Consider the following 19111-nt stretch of genomic DNA (forward strand, 5'->3'; position numbering starts at 1 on the left):
ACTTTCCCCTAGGACACCAGGGAAGCACCACTGGAGAGAGGCCTTCTGCAATGCACAGAGAGGAGGGCATTCAAAACTTGGAATGTACAACTTTCTAACTTTGAGTTCTAGGAGTCCAGAGAGATTACATAAATACTGACAGCGTCCCATTCTCAAGCCATATTTAAATTCATCACGTTCGCATGACTAAGTAGAAAACAGTTAATATATAACCCTTAAAAAATTAACAGCAAACAATTTACAGAATTTTTATTGTAAACAGAAGCTCATTACTAGTTATTACAAACTGAATCAACTGAAACTCAAGTTAGCAATGTGAAACACATTTATAGGCTTATTTTTGTATACCATAATTGGTAATTTTTGCCCCCTCAATACTTTTAAGAAGACTGTTAAAATTTTCAGCATTTCAATGATCTCTTATTTGTCAGGTTTAGCACCATGACATTCTCATTCCCTTAAAAAAACACTCATTCAAATCTAGGTAGAACTTCCACCTTTCATCATCAAAATTATCACACAAAATTTATTTTGTTTTTTTCACAATGCAAAAAGAAGACAAATAAGTATATTTTAAAATATTATCAGCAGTCCGTTTTGTGTGGTTTTACATTTTTCTGTCTGCCCATTATTAAGAAATCTTGCATTGATTTCATTTGCCCCCCTTGTCATTGCAACCCGTCTCTAGAATACTGTGGTAATTGAAACTAGCATGTACCTGCGCCCCCTCCCGGGGTCCTATCTTTGTCACCCACCTCCCCCATGGCTACTGCTTGTCATATCTGTGCTCAGTGCAGGGATGAGCATACAGCAGGAAGAGGCGAAGTCAGCATTTCATTTACAGAAAAATACTATCTGGTGGAGACAATGAGTTGCTGAAGATTTACTGTGGATAAAAATAAGCCGGCCAGGCGTGGTGGCTCACACCTGTAATCCCAGCACTTTGGGAGGCCAAGGCAGGCAGATCACGAGGTCAAGAGATTGAGACCATCCTGGCCAACATGGTGAAACCCCGTCTCTACTAAAAATACAAAAATTAGCCGGGAACTGTGGCACATGCCTGTAGTCCCAGGTACTCGGGAGGCTGAGGCAGGAGAATCGCTTGAACCTGGGAGGCAGAGGTTGCAGTGAGCCGAGAGCCGAGATTGTGCCACTGCACTCCAGCCTGGCGACAGAACAAGACTCTGTCTCAAAAAAATAAATTAATTAATTAAAAATTAGAAAAGCCATAAGTAAAATGGAGAGTTTGCCCTGTTCTGCTTTCTAATAGATTTTCCAAGCTTATGTTTCAGGGAAAAAGCCAGGACTACCTGTAAAGTATCATAAAATGCTATGGCTGTTAACCTTCAGTTGTATAAAAACATCAAAATAGCCTCTCCTCTCAAAAGAACTTCATGGAGATGTATCAAAAACACAAGTATTTCCCAAAAAAGAGTAAAAATAGATTATTTCCTGAACTACATTTAATAAATAATATTTTGTAATACAGTGTTTTCTGGTTTTTATAAAAATATTTACTTAAATAAACTTTTAAAATAAATCTAAATAGAGCAGATAAGTAATGAATATGCAATTTAATTTATGGACCATCTGAATAAAAATTTCGGCATTTTTTTCTGAATTCAGACATTAAATGATACTGAATATATTCAAATGAGTTCAAATATCACTGCAATAACACTCAAGTGGTTATAAATCTCATTCTTTTCATTTAAAAACAGCGCTCAGTGTTAGGTAGTAAGTCAATCCAATTTCAGTATAAATTAATGACTTCATAATCTCTAAGGTATTTGATTTTTCTACCAGAGAGAAATGTGACAATATTGAATACAAATTGTTTTTTGTATTGGTTTTCTTATGTGCACAATTCAAAGTGACCCTGACAGAATGCTGTTACACTTGAATGCAGGGTTGGGCCCATGCCACAACTCTACTGCCTATTTTACAGCAAACTCCTTTGGGGGCCCTGTCCCTGATTCTGTGTGAGTCTTAATAATACCAGAGAGTTCTTTTCCAATCAAATATATTAAAAATCAACTGGCTTGAGGGTTATAAATAATTACAATGGGATAGTAATATTAGGAGCAGAGATAAATTATTATCCTTACCTAAAAATTATGTGTATTATTTCCTGCATTAGCACTCTTTAGTCCAGTGCTTCTGGACTTATTTTCGAGGCATGGTGTACTTACTAGGCCATGCCTGGCCCAAAGAACTTGTTTGGGTCTATGGCCTCCCCACTTTCCACTGTGTTGCCCCGAGTGCTGAGGGTATAAATATCTTGGCAACTCTGTTATGTATTGTTACTCCAGTGTGCCAAGGTCCATTGTTGGGAAACTGAGGTAACTCAGAAGTAGGTAAATTTGACCTCTCCATCGTATAATATTTTGGAATTGGCCCAACATAGCTTACAATCGGACAGTGATTGGTCCTTTCTGGGTCTGACATGAGATTTATTTTCTTTTTAACTAGAGTAAGCATATCTGTTTTGTTTGATTCTCATCTTCTTAGGTAAGTTTAAATTAACCTTTGTTCATCTTTCTAGAGTTTTAAATAATTAAAAAGTCAGTGCAGAGAGTGAAAACAACATGGCATTTGGAATCAAGTACATCCAGGTTTGAGTCATGCCTGAATTCCAATCCCAACTCTGCTACTTACTATATGATGTTGAGCAAGTTTCTTAACTTCTCTGATCTTCAGTTTCTTAATGGGTAAAACTTGGATAATACCACCTACTTGCAGGGTTGTGGTGAGAATTGGGGATATAAACATGCAATGCCTAGGACAATGCCTAGGATGTAGAAGATGCTCAATAAAGATAGTTATCATTATTATTTAAAAGTTAAAGCTGAGATGGTGTTTTAATTTCCACCACATTGTGAACAATTGATAGTTATCATTATTTCAAATAAACATTCTTTTACAAAATATTTTCTTCCCAGTGCAAAACTAAGGAACCATTGTTTCTATCTCACATATGTAAAGTTCTTTAATGACTTCACTTGCATGTGAGAATATGGCTCAGGCTTAATGCACTAGAAATCTGCATCTTTCCTTTTAGAAGCTAAAAGGCAGAGCATGAAACGCTGATGCCATACCTTTTTAAATATCTTAAGTGGGTCTATCCCCATTAGAGTTACCAAAGTTTACTTACAGTGAATCTAAACAGCTGCTTCAGACCTTTAACCTTTAGAAAAGGGATAGTGGAATTTTAAAAACACGTCTTTAAACATGACTTTTGATTTTATTTGCTTCTCATAATTATTTTAGAGAACAGTAAATATGAAGATTAGTATAAATTAATAAAATGTATTAGAATTTAGGCTCTCTGAGAAGATTTTAACTATGTAGACCATAAAACAGATACAGCAGTGCTCTGCCATTAAAATAATTATGAGTTATCACAAACTCTGTAAAAACAATGATTTGCATGCATAAAAAAGTCAAGTCAAGATATAAACATGTTGGTGACCTCTGGGGTTCTTTTAATGAGTGTTTCCACAGGGGTTGTCTGAGATTTGGCAGCCCATGTTCTGGCTGGTTACTTGCACCTTGAAGAGCGTCCCATCAGCACACATGCAGAGCTTGTAGCGTACCCAGTCACCACTACCCAACTGGTCTCCACTGGAGGAACTGGGTAGGCGGGTGGTGCTGACCATCACAGATCCATTTAGGATGATACTGTTTTCCTATTAGGAGAATAGTAATATGATTTATTTACCTCCATGAGGGGGTACAGAACAAAGTCAGTAAACAAAACTTCCTGAAATATCAATGAGAAAAGCAAGCAGTAAGAAAGAGTAAAGTCACAAACAAAACAACAACAGCAACAATAAAAAACAAAATATCAGGATTCAATGAGTGACTTCTTCACTTCATATATCCATAACATATGTAAATAAATCTGCAACATAATTCCTCTATTGTTAGTTAAAATTACATCAGAATTCCTAAGTTCATAATAAAATTGATGTTGATAAAGTTTCAGATCATTTTCATTTGTAAGTCCTAAGAGAACTATAACAAAGGTACTGATTGGTAAGTTTGTGATCATGAGTACAAAAAGACTTTTCCTGGCCAAGCGCGGTGGCTCATGCCTGTAATCCCAGCACTTTGGGAGGCCGAGGTGGGCGGATCACAAGTTCAGGAGATCGAGACCATCCTGGCTAACACGGTGAAACCTCGTCTCTACTAAAAATACAAAAACTTAGCGGGACGTGGTGGTGGGCACCTGTAGTCCCAGCTACTTGGGAGGCTGAGGAAGGAGAATGGCGTGAACCCGGGAGGCGGAGCTTGCAGTGAGCAGAGATCACACCGCTGCACTCCAGCCTGGGTGACTGAGCGAGACACTGTCTCAAAAAAAAAAAAAAAAAAAAAAAAAAAAGACTTTTCCTCCTAGAGGGAATTAATTTTAATTTCCAATGTTTTTGCAACACTGCAAATGAAGATTCAAACCATATAATTTGAAGACCAGGCACTCTAGTCTGGAGGTTCTTCACGCCCACTGTTCCAGAAACATTCTCTTATTGTAGTTCCTTAAAATCCTTCTTTTTAGTGACTCTTAGGACTCTCTTGCTTTCTCCCTTTCCTCCTTTCTTCTTTTCATTCACTCAACAAATAATTACTGAGTGCCTGCTGTATGCCAGACACTATTCTAGGTGCTGGGGAATACAGCAGTAAGTAAAACAGGCAAAGCCCAAGTTCTTATTGAGTTGATGTTTTAATGGGGTAGGGGGAGACAATAAAAAAAATGAACAGTAAAACACATAAGACATCAGGTGGGATAAATGCTATGAGGAGAAATAAAGCAGGATAAGTAGAGAGTGAGCAGATGGGGACTGAGTTTTACACAGGGTGCTCAGGAAGGACCACCTGTGGTTTGATAAGGTCACACATTCCAACAGAAACTAGAGGAAGTGAGGGAGGAAGCTGTCTAGGTAACTGGGGAAGGGTACTCAAAGCAGAGGTAACAGTGTCTGCAAAGGCCCCGAGGTGAAGATGTGCCTGGATTCCAGGGACAGCTATGAGGCCAGTGTGGAAGAAGCACGGAGGGTGAAGGGAACAACCAGTAGGAGATGAGTCAAAGAAATAACTGAGGATCAGACATGTAGGCAGGGAATAGACTTTAGATTTTATTCCAAATTATACGGGAAGCATTTGGAGGATTCTGAATACAGAAATGACTTGATCTTTTTAAAATGGCCACTCTGGCTGTTGGGTAGAAAACAGACTATGGGAGTGAATACTTGGAAGTAAGAAGATCAGCCAGGAGGCTGTTCCAACCATCCAGGCAGGGAATGATGGCAGTTTACATCAGGGTGGTGATGGCCGAGGTGGTGAGAAACAGCAAGACTCTGTATCTTCTGAAGGTAGAGCCAGAAGGCTTTGCTATGGACTGATGGGTGTCATTTAATGGTACAAGAATACTGAAAGAAATGCATGCTTGTGGGGATGGAGAATCTAACTTTTCAATTGTTAAATGTGAGATGCCTATCAGATATCAAAATGGATAATGTTAAGCAGGCAGCTAGATATGTAACTCTTAGTTCAGAGGAGAGGTTAAAGCACAATTCCAAATTTGGGAGGCATCGGCTTACAGAGGGTATTTAAAGCAAAGAGAGAAAATTGGTTATAAATAATGGAGATGGTTAACTGATTATGCAGTGGTAGTATATGGAATAGACAGTAATTCTTAAGTGACTAGTTTTCCAATTTGTTCCAATGCTGCCATCTTGTGGTCATTTAATTTTACTTTCTTTAAATTGTTTTTTGTTGTTGGTTTTTTTTTTTTTTTTTTTTTTTTTTGAGACGGAGTTTTGCTCTGTCTCCCAGGCTGGAGTGCAGTGGCGCGATCTGGGTTCACTGCAATCTCTGCCTCCTGGTTTCAAGCGATTCTCCTGCCTCAGCCTCCCGGGTAGCTGGGATTACAGGCGCCCGCCACCACGCCCAGGTAATTTTTGTATTTTTAGTAGAGACGGGGTTTCGCCATGTTGGCCAGGCTGGTCTCGAATTCCTGACCTTGTGATCCACCCGCCTTGGCTTCCTAAAGTGCTGAGATTACAGGCGTAAGTCATCGCGCCCGGCCTAAATTGCTTCTTAAACAGCTTTTTCAAAAAAGCAGTTTAATTGATAAAATTATTTCTAATGATTGGCTTATACACTTTAGAACTAACCACTGATATTAACGAAGTTATAAAGCTAATTATCTTTTTAATACTAGGTTATTTTCCTTTAACAGTAGAGAAACTGATATGTGTATATGTATATTTCAAAGTATTTAAATATTTGTCATATTAACTACAAGGTAGAATGGGACAAGAAGTGGCAGGTAGAAAAAAATAAAAGGTTTGGTAAGTTGCTAATGGTCTCTAAACAAATCTCTTGCTTCTGTGACTTTCTACTGCTGAGAACAGCAGTTGTACTGTGGCTATTCTTCAACAGTGTTCTTAGAAGAATGGCTTCTTACACCACAATATACATACAAATTAACTCTGTAGGCAACTGAGTTTCTGGCAAGAATTACATTTTATGTCCATCTTTATTATTTAGAGATGGGATTATGTGTTCTGGGGGAAAAACTGCTTATAAAAGTAAAACAACTACTTTTAAAAAGTATTTTTCCCAGGAACTATGAAATTGAAATTTTTTTTAATAAGAAAGAATGATAAGTCCCTACGTTTAAGTTCACTTTTGTCATGTAATACTTGGTAAGACAAATTTAATTCGCTTTAATTAAATAGCATATTGCAGGTACCCAAAGGCATTTTGAATAAGTATACTTTGACCAGAATTGTGAGACATTAAAAAGTTTTTGGACTTATGGCACATGAAATACCATACCTGTTAAAGTTCAGATTTAATCTGTTAAGCACAAAGAAAATTCACTTTCAACAGCCACGATAAAGACAAAAACCTCTTTCCTTTACAATTAATAATAGATTAAAAATACATTTTTAATAAAAATATCTAAATAAAATAATTTTATAAATTTGCTAATTGTTTTTTTTCACATCATTGGATATGAAACTCAGGGAGGGATGTGAAAAATCTTTAATTAAAAACAACAACTACAAGGCATGAATATTTACTTTGATCTTCCAGAATTCTCTTTTAGAAGGTTTTTTTTTTTGCCTTCTAAAACAATACAAGTGATCATTATACAAAAAAAAAAAGAGAGAAAGAAACAGAAAATACAGGCTAGTAGAAATAAAAATAAAACAAATAATCTGTTATCTTGCTATCCACAGCTAAACATTGTTGACATTCTGGCACACCCTGCTAGGTTTTTATAAACATACATATGTTCTGAAAAATAAAAATAATGAATTTCACAAATTGTTTTGTAACTTTCTTTTACTTCACAACCCACTTTGAACATCTTTCCATGTCAAAAAATAGACAATTATATCATTTTCAATAATTGTATACTATTCCACATATGGATTTATGTACCCAAGAACCTAATAATTCTCTTAAGCTCTTAAAAGAATACTCACCGCCTTTAACTCCATATTACCACCCATGTGAAATTCAATGGTTTTGCCCATAATGAATACACCTTCATTTCCACGCACAATAGCACGCCCATCAACTTTTATATTTAAATCACTGGTAGCATTGCTGGTAATCTGAAAATTTAAAAAACAAGTACTAAAAAGAGTTTCTAAATTAATGTGAGAATTGTTATCAGAGATAGAGAAATAGAAGCTTCAGTCATGAGAGATGAAAGTCAAATGTTTCTATTAATGTTTTAGAGATGTGGAAATTGAGATAAAGATGACTTGATAATGATCACACAAGCTAGTTAATTACAAATCTAGAATTAATCCTTTCCGGTGTTCTGGAATATATTCTTTTATACTACTTTAAAACAGTATAACTCTCAGCCGGGAGCGGTGGCTCACGCCTGTAATCCCAGCACTTTGGGAGGCCGAGACGGGCGGATCACGAGGTCAGGAGATCGAGACCATCCTGACTAACACGGTGAAACCCCGTCTCTACTAAAAATACAAAACTTAGCCGGGCATGGTGGCGCGCGCCTGTAGTCCCAGCTACACGGGAGGCTGAGGCAGGAGAATGGCGTGAATCCGGGAGGCGGAGCTTGCAGTGAGTCGAGATCGCGCCACTGCACTCCAGCCTGGGCGACAGAGCGAAACTCCGTCTCAAAAAAAAAACAACAACAGTATAACTCTCTTCCCACTTTATAACTCTAGAGAATAATTCTCTCCCATTAGTAAAACAAAGCCAATAAATCATACCCTTTCAGTAGATGCCTTTTGAACATTCAAACTTTTCACTCCACTTGGCAAATGAAACTCATGAGTTTCATAGTCTGTGCTGAATAAGATATTTTGAGTCCTCGGGTCAAAAAACTGCATGCCGATGTCACTTGTAATAGAAGTTTTGTTGTTTTCTACACTGAGCTTTGTTGTCCCTTGCTGAAAAACAATCTTCAAAAAAAACAGTTTATTGTGAATATATTTTCAAAGAAGACTGCAAACAAAATTCCTGAACAATATATTTTAAAAATTACAAAAATTACAGAAATTTAAAAACCCCAATAACAGACTAACTTCAAATACGTTTAACTCTGTCTGTTCTCCCTCCATCCACTTGGAAGAAGAGTTCTTTAGAATGAAGGTTTATACATTTATTTGCTCATTAGCTCTGCAAAAATGCATGAGTCATGGAGGAACATGGCCCAAGGCCTAAGATAGGCAGGGGTGGTGGTAAGAATACCTCCTTGAGGTTTTATTCAGTTGAAAACTATGTTTTCAGCTCTTGGCATGGGATGCCACTGACTAGATTGGCATATTCTCTTCAAGAGCCCCCAAAACTACAGAGTATTCTCACCTGGGAAAGTGCTTTCTTAATGGCTTCCTCATATGGAGGAGAAAAGAGTAACCTATGTATTCTCATACAAATTACATCTGTCATAGAAAATGCTACCATTGAACAAAATCTCAAATATTAAGAAATCATCTAATTTTAACAGATGATAAAAGCAATAGTATTATTAAATATTAATATTTATGGATGTTTTAAACTGTATTCACTATATTCATACATTTATAGATATATTATAAATATACTAATTTTTCTAAGGGAAAATATCTCTTTCCAATAATCAACTAGGTTTTTGCAAAGTATTTTTCTCTAATGCCCCTCTCCTGTTTGCATTTCTTTCAGTTAATGTGGCAACTTACAGGCTGGTTGTTGCCAGTGATGACCAAATTTTCATTTCGCCTTCCTCCTACTGTGCTTTTATAAAGAGGGTGGATCACTCCCATGTCAGATACTTGCTTAAATCGAAGCAGGCCACTTTCATGAAACTCCATACTATCACAGCCATTTGGTCCAATGCGAATCACGGCCCAAATAACAAGTGTTATCTGAAAAAGAACACAAGTCCACTGTTGGTAGGCCGCATACATTTAATGTAATTGGAAAACAAATAGAAAATATTATCACCAAAATGTTAAAGACCTCCTAAAATGTTTTATCAGTGAGGTAAATATATCAATTAATTTTCCACTTATAAACAAAACGAATTTTATTTTTATTAAGGTATTACATGCAAATAGCTAAAAGTCAAAATGTGCTAAAGGTCTATAATTTAAAATGAATAGTTTCTTATTTTTTCTACCCTCTCCACATCTCATTCCCAGGAACAATCACTTTCAACAAATTTAGCTATTTCATCTAGAATTTATCTCCTTATTTCTAAATATATGTATTTCTTCTAAACATATATTTCTAAAATATCTAACAAATATTTCTTCTAAATATGTTATTTCTTCATTTATCATAATTTAGGTTTTATTATTAATTTTCTATTTTAGCAGATGATAAATTTAGCTCATTTATATCTCTTTTCTTTTCCAGCTCCAATCTCAAGTTTTAATTAAATCCAAGGTCATTATTTTCAGTATTACAACCATATAAATATTGTTCATTACCAAACCAAATATGTCCTATAATGGCAGTTTCTTTCCTGTACCTTGTCTCTCAGAATTTAATACTTCATTTTCCTTAGTTTCTTTAAAAATCTAATTAATCTCAAATCCTCCACTATTTCTGTAAAATCTCTCAATACAATTTTCTGTAGGTCTGAGCCTCTCAGATAATATATTAGTTCTATTTTTCTCTCTCAGGAAATCTTTCTGGAACCTGTATCTTTCTGGTTTGGTCTGCGTGGGCTGGACTGGTCTGTATGGGCCCCCTGCACAGCTGTAATCATAAACTTTCCCTTACGTTCATGCTGAACTTCCTTTTGTCTTTCTCTTCTGATAGACACCCAGTTTCCTGTATCCTCATCTTTCTTTTGGTAGAGCACATCCTCCAGTGGCTTCTAAGCAATGTATGAGAAGTAAAATTTTTTGGAAAGTGTGCATGGCAAAAATACGTCTTTATAATGCTTCATATTTGATTGCTGGACTGGCTAAGTATACAATTCTAGATGGAAAATTATTTTCTTTCTGAATTTTGAAAGCCATTGCTTTATTGCCTTCCAGGTCCCAATGCTGCTTTTGGGAGGTCCTATTCCATTCTGATTTTGTATTCTTTATACATAACCTGCTTTTTTGCCCCCTCTGGAAGATATTAGGATCTTTTATTACTGGTTTTCTTAAATTTCATAATAATGGCCTTGTTGTGTCTTTTTATGCATTACGCTGGACCCAGTATGGTAGTTTTCAATCTGTTCTAGGAAATTTTCTTGACTTATGTATTTGATCATTTCCCCCCCAGTGTTTTCTGTGCTCTTTCTGAAACTCCTATTAACAGCATGTTAGAGCTCCTGAGTTGATTAATTTTGTTGAAATTTCTGGAAGAGTTTTTTTATCTTCTAATGTCTTCTGTCTATCTACCTACCTACCTACCTACCTACCTATATCCATCTACCCACCCACCCATTCATCTCTGTGTGTGTGTGTATGTGTGTGTGTGTGTGTGTGTGTGTGTGTGTGTGTGTGTGTGTGCACGCGCATATCTATGAGTTCTTAATTGTTCCTTTTAATTTTTTTTTTTTTTGGTAGAGACAGGGTCTCACTTTATCAGGCATGAGCCACTGTGCCTGGCTTGTGCCTTTTAAATGGCATGTTATTCTTGTTTCATTGATGCAGTATATTCTTATTTCTCTGAAAATACTGAATTTAGGGCTTTTGTTTTTTTGGTAGTTTTTGTGGCATTTTCTCTATTCCATGAGTTTCTATTTTTTCCATGGTTTAGGAGTTTTCATCTCTATCATTTTTCAATTCTTGGCACTTTCCTCAAAAGTCTATTGATCCCTGGCTCAGTATTCATACTTAGTGATGAATTCATAGAAAATTATTTGAGGGGTAGGGCTTGTGACTGACAGGTGTCACAAGAGGGAAATTACATGGCTTTTTCACCGGGACTTGCCAAATGACAGTATCTTCAGATCTTTTTTCTATATGCATCAGGAATCCCAGAGAAGGCTCTTCTGTCTCTTGCCTGGCTGCCAGGGAGCTGGAGGTGGAGAATGAGGAAAAGAGAGCGTGGGAAAGGGAGTCTCAGGACCCAGACTTTCCTGTTTCAGTATGGAAACCCAACCCCTACCCTCCAGTATCCGCAGGCAGATAGAATCCTCTCTGGTCCAGTGTGTCCAGAGACACACTAGTTTTGTATGACATTAGGAGGGGTAGCTGTCTAACTGCTGGCTGGAAGGGAGAGGAGGCCTAGGGATCTCACTGCTTCTTATACAGATTTTCAAATGACTTCTCTGTTTTCAGTTCTTGCCTCACTTCTGCTTTTCAAGGTACTGGAACTTCTAATTCCCAAGGCTTTTTAGGGTTCTACAAGGTACTTCCACCAACATCCCCTCCCCAACAAGCAGATTCTCCTCTCTGATAAGTTATCTGCCATTGTTCCTCCTACTTTGTGTCTTCATTTATTATGATTTAGGATTTCAGTTGCTTCCGACTTTCTTCAAAGATATTTCTGTTTCGTGACATTGTTACTTTGGAACGAGCTTTTTAGAGAAGAAGATAAAAATGTCTTTATGCTGCCATCTTGACCAGAAGTCTCCGATAAAATACATTTATAAAATAAAATGCATTCAGATTTGTGCTCCTAGTAAAAATTTATATATCTAATATGAAATATATAGGAAGAGGTCTTTCTGATTTGAGTGAAGAATTAGACAGAAGTGCTTTGGACATACATAAATACAAAAAGACTGCCTTGCATGCATTAGAAGTAGAAAATAACACAAAAAGAATCACTTCAAAACTGCTGCAGACTATGTTCATGATCAGTCTTAAGTATATCAATAATCATTCCTTCTGAAAATATCTGTACATGCACATGCCAGAGTTTCAGATTTAACCCCAGACAGTCACAACTTCAGATTAAAAGGATTTCTTCATTAAAAAAGCAAATATCTTTGGAAAAGGCATCCTATCAGGTCCTCAGTACTTTAGTGTGAATCAGCCTACCAGATTCTTGCATCCTTTGACAACGGGGACTTAGGACTATAAAATATAACCTTTTACTGCCATCAAAGGGTTTAAAATTTTAAAATCCAGCTGAGGAGGCAACATTAAATGTAGGAAAAGTTAAATGAAAACAGAAAGGATTATATTTTTAAGGAGATGTGAAAGCAATAAAATCATCTTGGCAAAGTTCTCTTCTATTGAGTTGATCCTATCCTTATTAAAAGTCTCATGCTCTACCGATTGAGCTAGGTGGGAGCCTCATAATTCTATCCTTGCTAAAAATTAAGTCCATTAAAGGGATAAACCCATGCACATTTTTTTGTAAATGAAATTAATATATGAAAATATTAGCACACTAGTTTTTTTAATAAAGTATTCATTAAAATTCAGTAAGAGACAAGACATGTATAGAAAAGGAGAAAATAAAGTCTATGATTTCACTATAAAGCAGATAAAAAATTCCCCATGGCAATTAAAATGAGTATTCTTACAAATACTCACTATTAAATTGATGACAGCCAGGATAAACAAGAGGATAATCACACAGATGGCTAAATTGCCCTTTCTTCCTCTCAACCCTGTTTTGTGGAGACGATCTTCATCAATCGGAATGTATCCAGCTTTAAAGTTACTGTTGTGCTCTTTATTGACACTCCTTCTCTCAACAGCCTTCTCACGCATGGACTTCTTTACAGGACCATTGGAACTTTGCTAAAAATGAAATACAACATAATGGAACAGCTATACCCTCTCGTTTTGGTGCATTTATCTATTAGGTGCAAATTCATAGCTATAGCAAGCTGAATTGGTTACTGACACATTTTCCATGAATAAACTGCAAATCACATTGAGTTGCAGTTCCAAATAAGGGCATAACTGTGCTTAGAAGGAAAGTACAGAAGAAACTTCAAGGTCACTATCTGATATTTTTCCTCTCTGCTTTCAACAGTCCCACTGTCAAAGTATACAGCTTGTTTCTGAGCAGAGTTGTCATACGTATCCTATAGTGAGTAACTGCTTTTATTAATAATTTATTAATTTTTTTACGTATACAACTGGCCCTCCATATCCATGGGATCCATATCCATGGATTTAACCACTGTGGATCAAAAATATTTGAGGCCAGGCGCGGTGGCTCAGGCCTGTAATCCCAGCACTTTGGGAGGCTGAGGCGGGTGGATCACGAGGTCAGGAGTTCAAGACCAGCCTGGCCAAGATGGTGAAACCCTGTCTCTACTAAAAACACAAGAAAATTAGCTGGGCATGGTGGCACGCACCTGTAATCCCAGCTACTCCGGAGGCTGAGGCAGGAGAATGGCGTGAACCCGGGAGGCGGAGCTTGCAGTGAGCCGAGATCCCGCCACTGCACTCCAGCCTGGGCGACAGAGCGAGACTCCGTCTCAAAAAAAAAAAAAAAAAAAAAAAAAAAAAAAAAAAAAAAAAAAAAGGGAATGGTTGCATTTGTACAGAACATGTACGACTTTTTCCTTGTCATTATTCCCTAAACAATACAGTATAACAACTGTTTACATAGTGTTTACATTGTGTTCAGTGTTGTAAGTAATCTGCAGATGGATTTAAAGTATACAGGAGGATGTGCAGAGGTTACATGCAAAAACTGCACCACTTTATATAAGGGACTTGAGCATCAATGGATTTGGCTATCCTTTGGGGGTCCTGAGACCAATCCCCCATAGATATTGAGGGACAACGGTATATATTTTCATTTATATGAAAATAAGACCGGAAAGGCTGACATAGTTTGTTACTTATAATTTCACTGACTAGAGCTCACATTACCCTAGATCAGTAGTTTTCAAATGCAGGGTGGGGAGTCCTGGGAGGGTTCCACAAACCCTTTGGGGGGCTGTATTTTTGAAATAACACTGAGATACTGTTTGCTGTTTTTACTCTCCTAGGCCCATGAATGTAAAGGCTACATGACCAATGTGATGGCATCATCACTCAACAGAATGTATGCTTGTATAGCCCTGTACTTTAAAAATTTCTCCATTTTAACTTCTCCTATAGTAAATATCAATGAATATAACCCACATAAACCAAAGCTCTTTGGAATCCTCCATTTTTTAAGAGTGTAAAGAGAACCTGAGACCAAAATGATTTGAGAACCTCTGACCTAGACTATGGTTGAATGACATTTTGGGTAATAATCTTGAATATCAAGAGCACAAAAGAAATGGGCAGAAATGGATACTGTCCTACTTATTTCTTAAAGCTCTGAGAAAATTCAGTTGTTGAATACGCATGTATTAAGCACTTTACGCTTAAACACTAATTCCATAGATAGGAATACAAAAGAACTATAGGAAAGGGTCCTTATCCTCTATGTATTAACAGATATGATTTGTGTACATGTTAACATAAAATATTTAACAATGCAATAAAGCACTCTGTATGTTCAGGTGCCAAAATCAATAGTCTAGGCAATACACACTGCAGAGTTCAAAGGGAGGAGAGACAGGATGACCTGGAGTTGTTAGGGAAATGGGGAGAAGTAGATGGGTCAGATATGGCAAGGCAGGGAAGAGGAAGTTGGAAAAGTAGGGCCAGGTTGTGAAGGTTCTTGGACAGCAGGGTACAAATTCTAGTCTTTATGTTCTATTTAATTGGGAGTCACTGGAGGTTTTTGAGCACAAATTCAGAGTGTTAAAGGTGTGGGCATTTGTACGAGAGAGAAGAAAGAGGAGTACCAGTAAGTAAGCTGCTGGGGATGTTGTAGTAATGGAGGATTGAGGTTAAGAGGACCTAAACTAAAGTGGGATGAAAAAGGAGAGATTAAGTAGATACTTTAAGAGAAGACTTAACAGAATTTGTAGTCAGGTTCCAAAAAAGAACCTCAGGCTTCTGACAGCCCTAACAGATGGGCAACTTAAAAGTGTTAGCCAAAGTTTGAATATAGGTCCACATAAAAGAGAGAAAGGACAAAATTCATCCCTCCTGAGACGTAGTCTTTACTCTTCTCTGCCAAACCATGCACATTACTGTCTTCATCTTGATGCATTTAACATTTATTGAATAGTTACTATAAGCCAGGTGCTCCAAGCTACCAGGATGAACATAGTGTCCACCCTCAAGGAGCTTAATTACAGGCCAGTCAGGTAGACAGACAAGGTGACTAACAGTTCACAAAGCATGACAAGTGCTGTAGTGGAGCAATGCATACAATACAGAAAGGGTACAGAAGAGGAATGCATCTCCACCTAGCAGGCAAGGGCATCAGGGAAAGTTTCTAAGAAAAGCTGAAGGTTGAGTTAACTCTTGAAGGATGGACAGGAGTTAACCAGGCAAAAGAGCTAAGAAGGTCACTCTAGGCAGAGGAAGAAGCATGGAGACTTTGAGAGGCAACCATCTCTGGGAGAACTAATTTTGGTCACTTTATGTGGATGGTGAGAAGGATAGGTGTAGGGATGAAGCAAGAAATACAATGAGAGATGTGCTTAGGGGCCAGTAAGCAACATAAATACCATGACAAGAACAATGGACTTTATCCTGAAGGCAAAGGGGAACTACTGAAGAGTTAAAATAGGTTTCCTATACAATCAGATTTGCATTGTAGTAAAATCACTCCAAAAAGAGATGAACTGGAACTGAAGAGCCTAGAAGTGAAGATATCAACAGCAGGTTTCTCTAAGAGTCCCAATGAGGTACTGACTGAGGTTTGACTTTGAAGCTGAAGTCTGGGGAAAGGTGTTAAGAGGTAGAACTGTCAGGATCTCGTGATTGTTTGGATATGAGTGTGGCACAAAGGGGTCGAAGATGACTCCCAAATAGGACTGGCTATATAATTTGTGGGGCCCAGGGGGAAAAGAAAATGTGGGGCTCACTGTTTAAATCTCAAGCCCAGGACAGCAGAACATTAAACCAAGTGCAGGTCCTTCTCAGCTCCCTTAAAATGGCCTTGGTCCTAAGTTTCTGGCTAGGTTAAACAAGTGAATGGATGGTTGTAGCCTTTTTAATAGTAAGTATGACAGAGTCCAGTTTTGAACATTTTTGAGTTTGAGGTGCCTATGGAAAATTCAGTTAAGTTCAGGGCTGGAGACGTAATGCGTAAATTTGAAGTGGAGACTGAGTAACGGATCAGACTGCCCCACTTATGTGTAAAGCAAAAATAGAACCAGATGGAAAAACAATCATCTGAAACAGAAGCTGATAACTTAGGCGGGAAATGAGGAAAGCCAAGGCACAATTTAAATACCAACTCCAAGAAGTTTTGTCTCCTTTCAGTTTCACTCATTCCTCTATGTTTTATTTTACTGTTACAAATCTGCAGCCTGCCTATTGTCTTTAGCTGATTTTTTCTGCATGTATTTGGCTGTATGACTTTAAGCTCCTTGAAGAGAGATTTTACGTCTTTTATCTTCAGAATGAGCCCTCCAGTGACATATATCTAATAGGTCTCTAAAAAGTTAATTATCTAAGAAAATCGTTCCAAAGGTCAAAACTTGACTCATTTTTTTCAACAATGTTTTAGAATGAGACTTTTTAAAGAGAAACTACTATAATTGTTCAAAGGAAAAGTAAGTTAGGTAAGGGGGAAAGTTACTGAAAATTATCTGTATTACAATAAATCACCCTAGCGATTACGTGTATGTATATATTAACACACACACATATGCATGTACATGTATGCATACGTATAACTAGATTTTGGGGGGATGAGGAGCCTTTTAAACCATTCTAAGTTACAAGTTTACAATGCAGGTCAGGAAATCTTGGATAAATCATTTTTAAAAGTGAACAGGAGATAGTTTTAGACTGGTGACTAAATCTTCAAAAACCAAAGCGTGAGGGGAAATCTGGGATGTCTGCATATTGGAGATGGCAGAAACAAAAAACAAAGATGGCAAGCTGACACCGGGGCAACAGCTGACCCGTTTCTTGTAAGAGGAGCCTTCTCGCTGGGGCTGCGGTTATTTTTATCCAAATCTCTGCTGGCGGCTGAACGGGGTACGTCCCTGGCACGTCCCAGCGCAGGCTTCCAGGCTGGCTCGACCGCCTCCCAGGCTCTCCGGAAGGAGACCCCTCCTCACCCCCTCCGAGGATCAGCCAGGCCGGGCCGAGCCCGAGGCCGCCCCTGGCTCCTGGTCCCTAGCTTGTGCCAGCATCCTCGGCGGGGCACAGCTCCTCCCGCCCCGCCCCGCCCCGATCGGCCCCGCCGAACCCAGACCCTGCGGCCCGCGCCCCCCGCACCCCCGGCCAGGGCTCCCGCGGGCCCAGCCGGCAGGACGCGGCCTCCCCCGCTCCTCCAGCCCGCGGCCGCGGCGGTACTCACAGACCTGTTCTGCAGCCGCCGCCGCCGCTGCCGCCATCTTCCCGCGCCCGCCGCCGCCGAGCTCCCCGCCCGACTGTGCCCGCCCCTCCGCGACCGCACCCTGCGCGCCTGCGCTTGCGCCCTGGCGGGGACTGGGGGCACCCGCTGCTCACACCCTCCCCTCCCCAGCCCGCATCCCTGACGACCCGCATCCCAGCCCTGCGGGCTCAGGCTCTGCGGCGGCCCCTGCACCTAGGACCTTGGCCTGGGGCGCGTTGTATTGCACAGGGGCCAGAAGGGGCCTATGGGGATTCCGCTCCACCCCGGGCCGCCTGCAGATTCCTCAGAAAGGGCACCCTCAAAAATCGAGGACGCTTCTCCCCTTCCCCTTTGTTCCCCATCGCTGAAAGATCGGTGCCATCCGGAGCTGTGAGGCTCTCTTTGTTTCTCGGACCAAGGTCTCCTTGGCTAGGGTGGGAGGGGCCGATATCGAGACCACAAGTGGACGCGGACCGGCGTGGTGACTGCGTGGGCAGAAGTGAACGAGTGGTCACTTAGGTGGCTGGAGTCTTGAAGACTGAGAGTCCTCAAGGAGGACGTTGAATCCTTCGGGCTGCTTGACTTCGGAGGCCTATGAAGTCTGATGTTTTTATCCTGCGATACTGGGGATGGATTTTTCATTTAGTGTTGGAGATAGTGTTACCATGTATATCCTCGGGAACCTAATTGAACGGACATTTACTGAACACCGGGAAGCCACTCAAATGTACGAGTTACTTGAGTAGACATTCATTGTTCCCTGTTGTAGATATAATCCAATAATTATTTTAGCTGAAAAAAAATGCAGTGAAGTCAATAGCAACTGTTCCTCATGTAGCTGAATCACTTCTAATAAGCACCTTTGGGCCCTAGTACTGTCTAATTCAGTGGGAGTCAGTACCTAGCTGGTCATCAGTCTCTCTGCATTTCTTTTTTCCTAAATGCTGGAACCACTTGACTCATATCTCTAGACTCACTCCTCTCTGAGTCTGTGGGACAAACATGCATTTTAGGCAGGAAAATTCTAAGTTAAAGCCCAATGATGCAGGAGTCAGCAGTAAGGCTCTGTGTTAATATTCTGCCTGTGGTCTCATTGATCAATTTGCACAACTGGGCTTTTAACTGATTCTGAGTTCCTATCTTCTAGTCCTTAATTCCTAAGCTTTGCGTTTTTCTCTCTGCTGGGAAAGTTCTTCTTCCCTGGCACGCGCACTCTTATTCATCCTTCAAGAACTATTCTATTCAAACGTCATATTTTCTCTAAAGGCTTCAGAGGCTCCCACAGATCTGTTCCTTAACTGTGTGCCTAGCCTTTTCTAGCACTTCAGATTGCATTGTATTT

At 39.2% G+C, this 19111-nt stretch overlaps 1 protein-coding gene across 4 annotated transcripts, besides 2 other annotated features; it reads right to left on the minus strand.

Annotated features, from left to right (window-relative positions):
- SGCB (sarcoglycan beta) lies at positions 235–17828 on the minus strand. 4 transcript variants are annotated; one of them, NM_001440520.1, is made up of 7 exons: positions 17756–17828; positions 12960–13169; positions 11381–11490; positions 9207–9392; positions 8259–8450; positions 7497–7628; positions 235–3689 (listed from the first exon to the last, which is right to left on the minus strand). In NM_001440520.1, exons 4-7 carry the CDS (start codon positions 9336–9338, stop codon positions 3486–3488), a joined length of 660 nt encoding a protein of 219 aa, NP_001427449.1. In that variant the 5' UTR covers positions 9339–9392; positions 11381–11490; positions 12960–13169; positions 17756–17828; the 3' UTR covers positions 235–3485. The 4 variants fall into 4 exon arrangements, with proteins under 4 accessions (NP_001427449.1, NP_000223.1, NP_001427448.1 ...); NM_000232.5 differs by lacking the exon at positions 11381–11490; NM_001440519.1 differs by lacking the exons at positions 11381–11490; positions 12960–13169.
- Positions 17241–17360: an enhancer, noted in NCBI's record as "active region_21552". NCBI's record gives its function as "activates an Ori minimal core promoter by ATAC-STARR-seq in GM12878 lymphoblastoid cells {active_cell/tissue: GM12878}" and the evidence as "EXISTENCE:reporter gene assay evidence [ECO:0000049][PMID:35858748]".
- Positions 17601–18040: a silencer, noted in NCBI's record as "silent region_15421". NCBI's record gives its function as "represses an Ori minimal core promoter by ATAC-STARR-seq in GM12878 lymphoblastoid cells {active_cell/tissue: GM12878}" and the evidence as "EXISTENCE:reporter gene assay evidence [ECO:0000049][PMID:35858748]".

The sequence above is a fragment of the Homo sapiens genome, chromosome 4 (assembly GCF_000001405.40).
Source record: "Homo sapiens chromosome 4, GRCh38.p14 Primary Assembly".
Taxonomy (NCBI): domain Eukaryota; kingdom Metazoa; phylum Chordata; class Mammalia; order Primates; family Hominidae; genus Homo; species Homo sapiens.